We start from the raw sequence: 12,671 nt of genomic DNA, 5'->3' as shown, positions 1-12,671 counted from the left end.
AAAAATGAGTGACATTTAAGCACAGGGTGAAAGTAAATGTGCACATTTTGACAAAGCAGCCAAAACATAAACAAATAAAATAAGAAAACTAGTGGAATATTTTCCATTTGTTATTTCAGAATTTAAAATTTTTAATAGACTAAGCCACATTTATCATATTTGAGAGAGAAACACATTTTCCAACTGGCTATATTTTGACTTTCATACACAATACACAAAAAAAATAAGATTCAGTGCATAGAACTGTATTACTCCACTAGACAATATTTTAGGATCTCATCTCTTTGCTAAATTGAGGCCTCCTAAGAATCTGGCATTGTGGTGCTAATCTCTACAGAAGAAGGCAAAATGATGACTAGTATAAAGGATTATCACCAGAGATAAGTAACTGTAGGCAAAAATTACATTATTATATTTCTGAAAATCTGCATTTTTATATCTTTGCTTAACAGACAATAACTGAAATGTATAAGGTTGAATTCAGAGAGAAAACTATAAAGACAGTTCCCACATAAACCAATTTACAAGTGAACTGTCTTTCAAAATGAGATTCTTAATTTGTCTTCTAGTAGATTAATTTCATTACAAAGATGAAGCTGGATATAAATTATAATCTGGGTTTGTGAATTTAAAATAAACTCACCTGCAGAAATAAGGCAATGCTACTAAGTTTTTTGGAAATTGCTGAAACATTTAATCCAATACTTCATCTAGATAATACTAGACATTTTTGCAATCTATGAATTTCTTATATTTAGAGTATTTATAAATTCTGATTTCTATTTTTGAAAATGAGGTGGGGATACAATAAATAAGTAAGAATTATCATTTTATTCACAAAATAATAATGTTCCCCATGATCAAACACTAGTTTAGAGTGCAAAATCATTCAAATTTTACATAATATTTAATATTTAAACTACATAGTTTTCGGTAAAATTTTAAGTATTTTCACATAAATGGAAGGAGTTTAAGGAAAAAAATAAATATGTCTACTGTATGTGTGTAATGAAAATGTATGATGGAAAGATAGGTTTAATTAGATTTCTATTTGAACTATATAGCTCAAGAAGAAAACACTGGAGGTGACAGTTTGGGATTATGATAGATTTTCATCCAACGACTTCCTTGGGGAGGTAAGCCTCTGACTTCCTTTCCCTTATTTGCTGCTATGGTAAACCACCAATTAAAGCACGATGCAAAGCATGTTTCTGAAGTTTATAAGATAGCCGTTTCTGAAAAAAATCTTCTGGCAGATAGAATTTATTTCCTGATTTACTATTTGAGTAGATTAATACCAATTCAAGAAATGGTTTTCACTCTATCACTTGATGTACTTTATAATTAATTTCTAAGATGAAATTTTCTTTCAATAGGAAGATATGTAATCATACTGTGAGTCCAAATGAGATTTGAAGTAACAAATTTATTATATTATAAAATGGCCTGGACTTTTAAAAATGCATTTACAGGTTCTTTAATTGATTTGATGTGACATATTGATTGCATTGTTATTTATAATTAAGTATTCTGAGAAAAATCACTGAAAACATTTTAAGAAGCAAAACTACAAGTAGGAGAAAACAATAAAAACAATTTTTACATTAACATCAAGGAATCAAAATAACCTAATTGTATGCCTGTATCAGAATATCTCATATACCCCATAAATATATACACTTACTATGTACTTGTAAAAATTTAAAAATAAACAAATAATCATGAAATTGGTAGCATGAACAGATCTTGTGATTTTTAATCTATTATATATATACATTGTTTATATATATGAACATAATATATACACATATTGTTTATATATAGGAATATTATATGTATAATGTAGATATGTACACATTGTGTATATATATACACATTTACATTATATGTTATATATACGTATATTATACATTGTATATACATATATTTTATATATTGTATATATCATGTGTATATACAATGTATATATGTCTATATACAATGTATAATATATACTATACAGTGTATACAATTGTATGTCTACAGTGTATATATAATGTATATATACACGTTATATATACAATGTATATATACTATACATATTATGTATAATATATATAATATATATACACACATACACATTGTTTAGTGTTCTGCTTAGGGCAGAAGTTATGAATTAATGTTAAAAATAATCTCCAAAAAATCCAAAACCTACAAAATACGACATCCTTTTGTGTAATCAAGGTGATAATGAGGACTTGTTTGGTTCTTAAGACTTTGCACATCTCTTTTCACCAAAACTGGAGCATTTGACCCTTACCTTCCAGTTCCATCCAGCTCTAGCCACTTGGACTAATCTTGATCCTAGGCAGGAGTACTCTAGATTAGTATTATGCCTGACTTTATGTTTCATTTCAAAAAAGTGACTTACTGAAGTCCTTCTAATTTATGGTCTTATGTTTACATGAGCCTAAAGCATATATCCATTGGTCTGGTTTTCATTTCTTTTTAGCTCATCATATCTAAGATGTCAGCAACTGTAAAATGCACCAATGTACTAAGAAAAAAAAAGTTGCCAATTAAACCATGACAAAATGTGGTAGTCATATCCCTATTTCAAATGTGAACTAAAGTATGTTTTAAAATAGAATAAATAAGTTTGTAATTGCAACTTACTCATTCTTTTCCATTTTGTCCCTTTTGTGACTAAAATCAAACATTTTTCAAGGTTGCTAGTCCAGTTTAAGATTAAAATAAGTTATGAGTTTTTGTTTGTTTGTTTATTTGTTTGTTTTTTGAGACAGAATCTTGCTCTGTCGCCCAGGCTGGAGTGCAGTGGTGTGATCTCAGCTCACTGCAAGCTCTGCCTCCTGGGTTCATGCCATTCTCCTGCCTCAGCCTCCCACACAGCTGGGACTACAGGTGCCCGCCACCACGCCCAGCTAATTTTTTTTTTTTGTATTTTTAGCAGAGACGGGATTTCACCGTGTAAGATTAAAATAAGTTCTTACAACAAAAAGAAGTTTTGTTTTATGAACAGATTGACTTGTGACCCTATCTTTTAACATCATATCCAAATAATTTAGTTAATAGTCAAAAATTTTATACAGTTCAGTTCAAGCAAACATTTATTAAGCATCTAGTATGTAAAAGACATTGTTTCCAGTATCATTGGTGAAGAAAACTGAGGAAGAAAGAATCATCATCCTCAAAAGTTATACTGTATTCCTTGGTTTATATCCTTGAATAAATTTTAGAACATAGAAAAAGTAATGAATCAATTATACTTTAGTCCCTAAATTTCATTTATTTGTTACACTTTTTTTCAGGTATTGATTGATTTATCTAGCACATCTCACCTCGATAACACTCCAAGGTGGTATCCTCTCAAAGAACAGACTGAAAGCATTGATCATGGCAAGTCTCATTCCAGTCAGAGCAGCCAGCAGTCCCCAAAGCCATCTGTTATCAAAAGCAGAAGCCATGGTATCTTCCCTGACCCATCAAAGGGTAGGAAATATTTTTTTAAGTAGAAAAAGTTTTGTGTCTATTTGTTCAGTCTGTATCTTCTTAGTGTGAATGTTTGTACATTTAACCTATATTAATAGATTAGACACGACTGGAAAATACTTAATATAATGTCATGCAAAGAGTGGAATCAGGAGAAATGGGCTTTATTCTCAGATCATCACCCATACTTAGGTGTAGTACTTTGTAATCTTCACTTCTCTAACTGTCCAATTTCAACATGTAAAATGAGCTATTTGGTCTATTCCACCTCAAAATCCATGATAACATGATTTCAGAAAATGCATTTGGGTATTTCATAAAGATAATACAAAAATCCCTACGAGTTCATTGACTAGACATAATCATCATTATCATTAAGTTATAATCCTTCTAATTGTTTGAATCTCTGGTTGTCCATAAATATTGTCTTACCCAATAAATATAATTTTGCATGCTACTTTTTATTTATCATACAAAGAATATTTTCCCCTGTCATCAAAACAATTGGTATGCTGAAATTTACTTAAGTCTTTCCTAAATGTTGGACTCAAGCTAATTTTTTAATAACTATTATTATTTTTTAAATAACAGTGCCATACATTGGGTTTGGCAATATGCAAATATGTACAGCACTCTCATTCAAATGAGCTTTTCCTTTGAGAGGTTCATAACCAACTGTCCTACAACACAACATTAATCCTCATCATAAACTGAGCTACTGCCTCTGTGGGATAAAACATGTGGTACCTTACCTAGATATACTGAACTATTTGTAAGTATTAAATATAATTTTTATATTGGACTTGAGTATTACTTCCTTGTCACCTTTTCTAGGAAAGTCCAGCAAATTGTAAAGTGGTTCTTTGTACATGAGATTCTCTGAATCATAAATGCAAGTGTTCTAGGAGATGAGAAAGTGAGTCCATGTCCAGTAGGCCACTGAGTTGATATCATAAACTGCTGACTACGAGTTTTGTAGATTATTTATGAATGAGTTTTATAGATCATTTATGGGTTCCACTTAGCCATCTCAACTCTTATCTTGCTTAACATACTGCATGATCATTAGTATAAAGATCTCTTTCTATGACTGCCTTAGGAAATACGTGATCCATACATTCTCTACAATGGTTTGAGGCATGATTCTACAATCTCCACACTTAATATGTCCTAGTGATTCACATCCTTCATCCTGTTTTTGCTTAAAACTCCTCCTGTGTATTGTCTCCTACCTGACCTCTGCTGGAATTAGCAGAGGTGCTTGGTGAAACTAAAAGTTAACATATTTATTACTAGAAGCTAGTCAGAATGTATTTCTTTTTTCAAAGTTCTCTCTTCTCATTGCTATCATCCTTTTGCCTTTCCTCCCCCAAATTGTTTCCCAGATGTTTAATCATCATTCTGTATGATGACCAGTTGCATAAATGAATCATATAAGACTCAGAATTAACATAAATTTTAGGCAGTTTCAAATTATGTGTAAACCAAGCTTGATAGGAGGAATGCTGGAACAACTTTAACTCATGTTTTACCCTTTTGTGACCAGACATGCAGGTTCCCACCATTGAGAAATCCCATAGTAGTCCTGGTAGCTCAAAATCATCATCAGAAGGCCATCTCCGTTCTCATGGACCATCTCGCAGTCAAAGCAAAACCAGCGTCACTCAGACCCACCTGGAAGATGCAGGGGCTGCCATAGCTGCTGCCGAAGCTGCCGTGCAACAACTCCGCATTCAACCAAGTAAAAGACGCAAATAAATTCCTCAGCATGGCAGCTTAATGTTCATCTGTTGCCTTTCTTTCCTGCTGTCCTTTCCTGTTTGCTTTCAGTTTTCAACATCCTCTGCTCACCCTGTTCTCTGTCCCTTTGTCTGTGTAAGAACGATATAAATACATTAATATGCTCTTTCTTATTTAGATTTTTTTTATTTACATAGACTGAAATAAAACTGGCTGTTTCTCCTTTGTTTCCACCATCCATCCAACCTGGCTCATAGCATTTGATACAGTGTCTGTGATGTTTGGAAGCAAAGCAATGTTGTGTGTCCTTTTTGTTTGCGCTTAAATATCTTTTAGAATACAGAAATTATAAGCACAAGTGGCTGCCAGTTTTCCAGGACTTATACCAAAAAAAAAAAAGTGCACACATATAAGTATTTAGAGCAGATTTGCAATTAGATTCTTGTATCTGAAAACACTCAAAAAGTCTAGGCAGAAGATAATGCAACCAACAGTCAACTTCTAGAACCTTGGAGGAAAAGCCATTTCAAGACAGTGCTTTAAAACACTAACAAATTTTGCTTCTGAAATATGGTAGCTTTCCATGTGCAAAAAATTGTAGTCTTCTGAAAAATCTGTGAAGAAAATCTTATTTCTTACATTCTCAAAAAACTACATTAAATTAATATATGTATAAGCATATGTGATAAGGCAATGCAACCTCACTGAGGAGCACAATTGGGTCCATTCTGTTGGATCACACTTTGTATGTGATGACAGATTTTACAGATATTTTTTCTAACCATTGGAAATCAAGATATACTATGTCTGGTAGCTATAAGTCAATCAAAGTATAACAATTGACCTATCTTAACTGCTGTATTTTCATTTCATTTGTGAAAATTTAGTCGATTGATATAATTATATAAAAACTTAATATGTGCAAATATTTCACAAATGTAGGTACCCTGTTACTTCTAAAAGGCATTAGCCAGGCAATGGAGATAGATCATTGTTCTCTCCATCTCCCTAGTCATCATTTTCAAAGAAACAGCCAGTTTTAAACCCCTTTAGTGCTGTGCATGTGGTGTCATTTTGGCATTTGAAAACACAACCTATTTAAATAGAGCAAAAGAGCACTTCTGTTTGCATGAATAACATTTAAGCTGGTTCCATCTGAGGATACATACTCTGGGTTTCCATTTCACCCACACTGCCACAGCAGCACATAAAAGCGGTCAGTCTAATCATGCCAGGAAGCAGCACAGACACAGCATAGCAGGAGTCCTCCCCATTCAAAGAACTCAGTCTGATAATCTGCCTCCACCAGCCAATGGCAACCAAGACCAAAGCCAGCTAGCCCTCAGGAAGGTGATGTCTGATGGACCAGTCAAGCCAGAAGGAGGTGAGCAGAAAGGCCCTGTTCAAAGCACACAGCAAGAACATCCCCAAATTTAAAGCTCTCATCTTTAATTTTTAGAGATTGTCTGATAAAATATGTTTATCCACTTTTTAATGTGCTTTTGTGGGCATGGCATTTCAGGACTTCATCATCACCATGTAAGTCCCAAGATCAGTCCCGTAATATATTGACTACAGTGATTTGTATTTTTCTATGCACTGGGCATCTTTTGACTTTTGTTGGGAAATAGATTAACAATATTCATATTGCAGAATGGAATGCATGCTACTAACCTAATCTGTTCAAGCATGACTATAAATATGTTTCATTGTGATAAAAGTTTAAATTGCTCACAGTTCAAGTTAGCCTACCAGTTGGAATGTGGATCAGTGTTTTTTGCCTATTATTTCAAGTGTAACTTTTAAAAATTTAGTGGATTTTGAAAATTCTTAGAGGAAAGTAAAGGAAAAATTGTTAATGCACTCATTTACCTTTACATGGTGAAAGTTCTCTCTTGATCCTACAAACAGACATTTTCCACTCGTGTTTCCATAGTTGTTAAGTGTATCAGATGTGTTGGGCATGTGAATCTCCAAGTGCCTGTGTAATAAATAAAGTATCTTTATTTCATTCATAAACTACTGGGTTCTGAGCCATTGTTATATGATGCAGCTTAAAATGAATGTGTCAGTTTTGTTTTCTCAATTGATTTCGTTGCAATAGATTTTAATTACTGCCTCATTGCTAGTGACAGCTGTAATGATTGGACATTTGAGAGCAGGACAAAGTTCCATCTTGGAAACACTATAAGATAGATGGAAAATTGTCACCAAATGAAAGCATCAGAGATTGCATTAAAATGTAAATAAATAATGGGATTGGGCTGCCCTAGGCAACACTTCTGCTATTTCTCTCTCCCACGTCTGATCTACTTTGCAATCTTCTCAGGTTCCTGGATAGAGGAAGGTAAATTCCATGAGCTCTTGCTTTGCAGAAGTGGCCAACCTTCAACTCATAGCTCTGTTCAGAAAGGAAAGCAAATTTACATCCATCTGTAACCTGACCCCAACATTGCTAGAATTTTCCCCCAAGAAAGAGTGCCACTGCCAGTGACAAGGAATGAAGCTAGGGTGATTATACAATTATCTTCAAATTTAATTCAAAAGCACATATTAAAATAATGTTTTTTTAAAATAGGATAGTACTATTTGCCCCCTTAAGTACCTCTCAGCCCTAAAATATTTGATTTTATGAGTCTATATTTGGCACAAAATTAAAATCAAGCCTTATACTTTCCTATTGCGTTCTTTTTATTCTCATAAAATTAAAAACATTTCATATGTCCTTCTCCCTATTAATTATATATGTGGTGGCAATGTAAGATATATGTCGCATTACAGAGGTAAACCACTGAGGTGTTTCCTAAATTAGGTAATTAAGGAAACAATCAGCTTAAACATTAGGATAATTCTGAATATGTGTTACTCAGCCCAGTTTATAGATTATCATCAAAGCACAATTTCTTTTTTCTTGTTAGCCTTACTAAAACTTTCATTTTTAAAATTCCACCTCTCACCTTTTCTTCCATCAAATAAGTTCAGTTGATTTCTTCATGTTATTCACGTTCTTTAAATATTCTTTCAATTATAAATTTCACAGTAATCAAACACTTCCCTTATTTCACACCTTATTTTTAATTATTGTGACTTAAGTGTTTCTATATGACATTTTATATGATTTTCTTCCTAGACATAGTCCTTAAAATTTATATTAAAGTGTTTTTAATCCCTTTTTTTGAATAGTGTTCTAATAGATATTCTCAAACATTTAGTCTTGTGATTGACTTAGAAGTCACTCTTCATTAAAATCATAATTGAAAGGAAAACTAGATAACACAGCATGCTTTCATGTTTAATTTTGTTCTAATAGACGATAAATTAAAAAGCCTTGTTTTCTAAAGTATAATTTTTCTGCTATTATAAGTGTAACAATATAATTGATCCATGTATATTTCCAGGCACTTCAGGCAAACATACTATAGTGTTAAATTTATATAAAATGCAATATAATTTGTTTAAAGTGCAGAGAGAAAAACTAGGCAGAGATACAAACATATAAAAAGAACCTGCAAGTTCCTGTTCACTAACTGCAGAAGTATTAGTAATAATCATAAGTGTTGAGATAAAAGTGTCCCATTTCAAACCTCACAATGGAGTTCGTATAATCCCATCCGCATTCTGAAAATAATACTCTGCATTTGAATAGTTCTTCATGTTGTACAGAGTGTTTTGTCATCCATTTCTCATTTTATCACATTAAGTGGATGAGGTAGTTATTTCAATATTCTTATCCCTGTTTTATGCGTGAGCAATCAGAGTCAGAGGGGTAGGCTGGCTGATATAAGAACACACAGCTAGAAATTTTCAGAACCGACAAATATAACATTGTCTTGTGACTTTTTGAGTTATAATTTTTGAATACATTGTCTCCTTTAAAATCAAACTCTCCTAATTTTAATAAGAACAGTCATGTACTTATTTATGACTTATCTCTTAAGTTCTTACAAACGATTAGAGGTAGCTGGAAATGATGGCGGAATTCCATTTATACTCTCTGCCTACATGGTCCTCCTTTCTAAAGGTTGTTGATTTAACCCAACAAAAGGAAGCCTTCCCACTGTGCAAGCCCAGTGAGGCATTAGGCAATGTTTGTAGCTCCATTAGAAAAGGCTGCGGGTCCATCTGTAGGCATTTCTATCAAGAGTGACAAAATTGTCCCTAAAGAGCTTTTCAAAGATTTTTTGTAAGCTTCTCAGCAGATTTCTGCTTGAACTAGCATAAAATATGGGTCAAACAAGAATTATGGAGTGAGTCAAAAGGAATTTTTTCTTTCCCTCTGGGGTTTAGTTGTATGCTAAAACACCTGACGGGAAAGATTAGACAGATTGTGCAAAAACATCCTGAGGCCTAAACAACTCTCCGTAGTTAAAAACCTCTGGAAATGTTTTCGGTTGTTGTTGTTGTTTTCCCCATGCTAGTTGGTTTGGTTGAACACAAACCTTGCCATTTCAAAAGATTTTTTATTTGTTGGTTTGTTTGAAAACTATATCAAGACCAAAACAAGTTGAAGCATTCCTAAAACCTTGAAGATTTATTTAGTTGAAATCCAATATACTAAATTTAAGTGTGAAAAACCTGAGCTATTTTTGTTTGATACTAAGATTTTAGGTATGAGTTTTAAATTTAGAAATAGGCAATACAGGATGAGGAGAAATATCCCTCTACCCTGGTCAATAAAACAAGAGCCACTGGGACAGGTTGGAGAGATTAGGTGAGACAATAAATTATTAAATAGGTCATGCAAGGAAATATGATTTCGAGTTCCCTGATGTGGCTGAATTGTAGGAGAAAAGCCTGATGCTACTTCCACAGACCACTACTGGAAACTCCGCTTTCAATAAAGCTCATTTGCGGCACCTGTCAAAGAAGAGTTTCATATCCATGTGTTGCCTTGGTGAACTCTTACTAAGCCATCACTCTGTGGGAGCTGCTGCCTTGGGCAAGTGGTAGTGGGTGGATGGGTTTGGGAGTGGGTGGGACTGGGAGTGGAGGGAATTGCTGGGTACAGATGATAGTAGCTAATCAGCATCCCATTTTCTTTTGACCAGAAGCAGATGATCACTTCTGGTCAGAAGGAATTTAGCCTTCCCTGTTTCTGTAAAGGTCAGGCCCATAAGAAAAATAAAGGAAAAAGCATAAGAGAAATCAATTTCATTTGGAGGTGAAGTCTTCTTTAACATTGTATGTACAAGATTAATAAAAACAAATTTTACATTCCTCATTTCCATGTGTTTGTGCAAAAAAATTTTTTAAACCTTGAGCAGTTTAAAATAAAAAGAAAATTCAAACTGTAATGACATGCGCATAGCAAACATCCAACAAAATCTGAGAGAATCAATTTGGACAATTTCAGCTTTCAGAGTTCTATACCTATTTCTCTGGTGATAAGGATTTATTTTGTTGTCTGTGAAAATCAAAATGCTTTTCTAACGTTTTGGTTTTGAGAGATTCTACATTTTCTTGGAATGATTGACTATGCATTTTCAAATATTTCTATAGTCATTTAAATTTATTGCTGGAAATACCTCTGCTATACATACAGAATCAGACAGTAAATGTAGAACTCTGACCATATCACACTATCTCTTGTTTATGGATCTTCATTCCTGAAGATGAATTCACTGACCTACCATCAATGGGTACTTCTGTTCTTTTCCAGTAGTAGCCATGGATCTGCACCGAGCCATCTGCATACTTTGGTCTGGTCCACAATGGGGATTTATATGTTCATTTCATCTGACGTGAAAAGTAAGACCAACTGGCCCATCTAAACACCAAACTTGGCTTCAAAATTGTTATGCCTTAGTCATATGGTCTAGCTATGGGCCTAAATAATGAGGATGAGACTATTAATATATGATCTAAGAAGAAGAGAAAGGCCTAAATTTTAACATACCAAGGTTTCTTAAATATTATTTATGACATGTCTTTAAAAATAATACCCATAAAGCCTAGTTTTTGTAATGCAATTATTTTCAAAAAGTTAGTTCATCAAATTACCACCAGGGAGCAGGACCTGTGGAAGTAAGACAGGCAAGTAAATGCTGATGGGGGAGGGCAATGAGAATGCCAATGGAGACACAGTGGGGGGCAGTCAGGGTACAATAAGAGCATGGGGCAGGCAACTTTCTCACTTGGATAGGAGGATCATGGAACCAGGGATATGCTGCCCAAGGAGTGGTAGAGGAATGCCAAAGACACTAATTGTTGATTTAATAATAGTCCCCAAATCCAGATATGTAACTATCCATGAAATGCTTAGTTATTTTTCCACTTTTCATCCACATGTATTACATACATCATGTAAACCATAATATTTCACCCATTCTTCATTGTGCAACATGATCTGGGGGAAGAAACGTGGGTATGGGGTAAGATGAAGGGAATTTTCATGTATACTGAACAAGACCATGAAAATATTCTTTTCCATTTTTATTACTGTGCTGTACATGTAAATATATAATGAATCACTAAAAAGCCAAAAACACATGAATTTTCAAATGAAACCAAATTATATCCGAAATATAAAATTTTGATCGGGGTGTTGAGTTTGGTAGATGTGTGAATAGGAATGACGTAGATCTAACCATCATTTTATATTTTAATGTGTTTTAGATACTGAAAAGTATAATTCGTTAATTTAATTATAATTTGAACAGATTAATCAAAATAATATTAGGTTGGTGCAAAAAGTAATGGTGGTTTTTACCATTGAAAGTAATGGCAAAACCGGCAATCACTTTTGCACCAACCTAATACCACAACTCAAACAAGGCAGAAAAATTTTTCAGAAGAAATGTTTGGTAAAAGTCAGGATCACAGGTTTCTATTTCCAAATGTATAAGAAAGGTAGAGAAATATAATTTCTACCATATTGTTCTTAAAAAGAACATAGCAAAATTCACTTTTCCTCATTAAAACATTTCAAATTGAAAACCATGTATTTCAAGTTCTATAGATCACACTGTATTTTTATCTGATTCTTTTTATAAAAAGAACTTGGAATATAGAGAAATATAGAAAACATATTTTTACAACTACCTAATTCAAATGTCTTTCTATATAGGTCTATTATGTAGTTTTTGTTTTAAAGCATCCTCATTGCCAATGACATTTAATAAAGTCAATAACTATTGAATCACCATTTTGCTTCCATCCAACTATTATTAATGTACAAAAGATACTTTATGAACACAAAACCTCTTTATGGAAGAATCTGCATTATTTTATGCCTGCCAATTATCATTATTTACTCCGGGTTTCTGTGCACAATAACATAGTTATTTTCTTGTTTTGTTCGTTTTTAACCAAAAATAGACAAGATTTTATGATAAAATATATTTTTAATTCATGCCATATATTTCTAGAGTTGTGAAGTTCTGAGTGAAACAAGAAGCTTAGAGACAATTAAAATGAATGCTAATATCAATAATGAATCTCTT

General features: G+C 33.2%; 1 protein-coding gene across 6 annotated transcripts in view, besides 1 other annotated feature; it reads left to right on the top strand.

Moving 5' to 3' along the window:
- PCLO (piccolo presynaptic cytomatrix protein) overlaps positions 1-12,671 on the top strand; it is a 408,873-nt gene that overhangs the window by 335,160 nt on the left and 61,042 nt on the right. For 3 of the 6 annotated variants that reach the window (XM_017012006.3, XM_047420211.1, XM_047420210.1), the window contains 4 exons: positions 1,065-1,136; positions 3,309-3,489; positions 5,036-5,230; positions 6,431-6,613. In XM_017012006.3, the coding sequence (XP_016867495.1) occupies positions 1,065-1,136; positions 3,309-3,489; positions 5,036-5,230; positions 6,431-6,613 (631 nt within the window). Of the gene's footprint in view, positions 1-1,064; positions 1,137-3,308; positions 3,490-5,035; positions 7,249-12,671 lie in introns of those variants that run through there. The other 3 variants (XM_047420212.1, NM_033026.6, NM_014510.3) reach the window with 3 other exon arrangements.
- Positions 11,023-11,568: an enhancer, noted in NCBI's record as "OCT4-NANOG hESC enhancer chr7:82445473-82446018 (GRCh37/hg19 assembly coordinates)". NCBI's record gives its function as "activates a minimal SCP1, AML or CMV promoter by ChIP-STARR-seq in primed H9 embryonic stem cells {active_cell/tissue: H9 hESC(primed)}" and the evidence as "EXISTENCE:reporter gene assay evidence [ECO:0000049][PMID:30033119]".

This window comes from Homo sapiens, chromosome 7 (genome assembly GCF_000001405.40).
Source record: "Homo sapiens chromosome 7, GRCh38.p14 Primary Assembly".
In the NCBI taxonomy this organism is placed as follows: Eukaryota; Metazoa; Chordata; class Mammalia; order Primates; family Hominidae; genus Homo; species Homo sapiens.
Note: the sequence above shows the minus strand (reverse complement) of the source record. Positions and strands in the feature narration are given on the sequence as shown.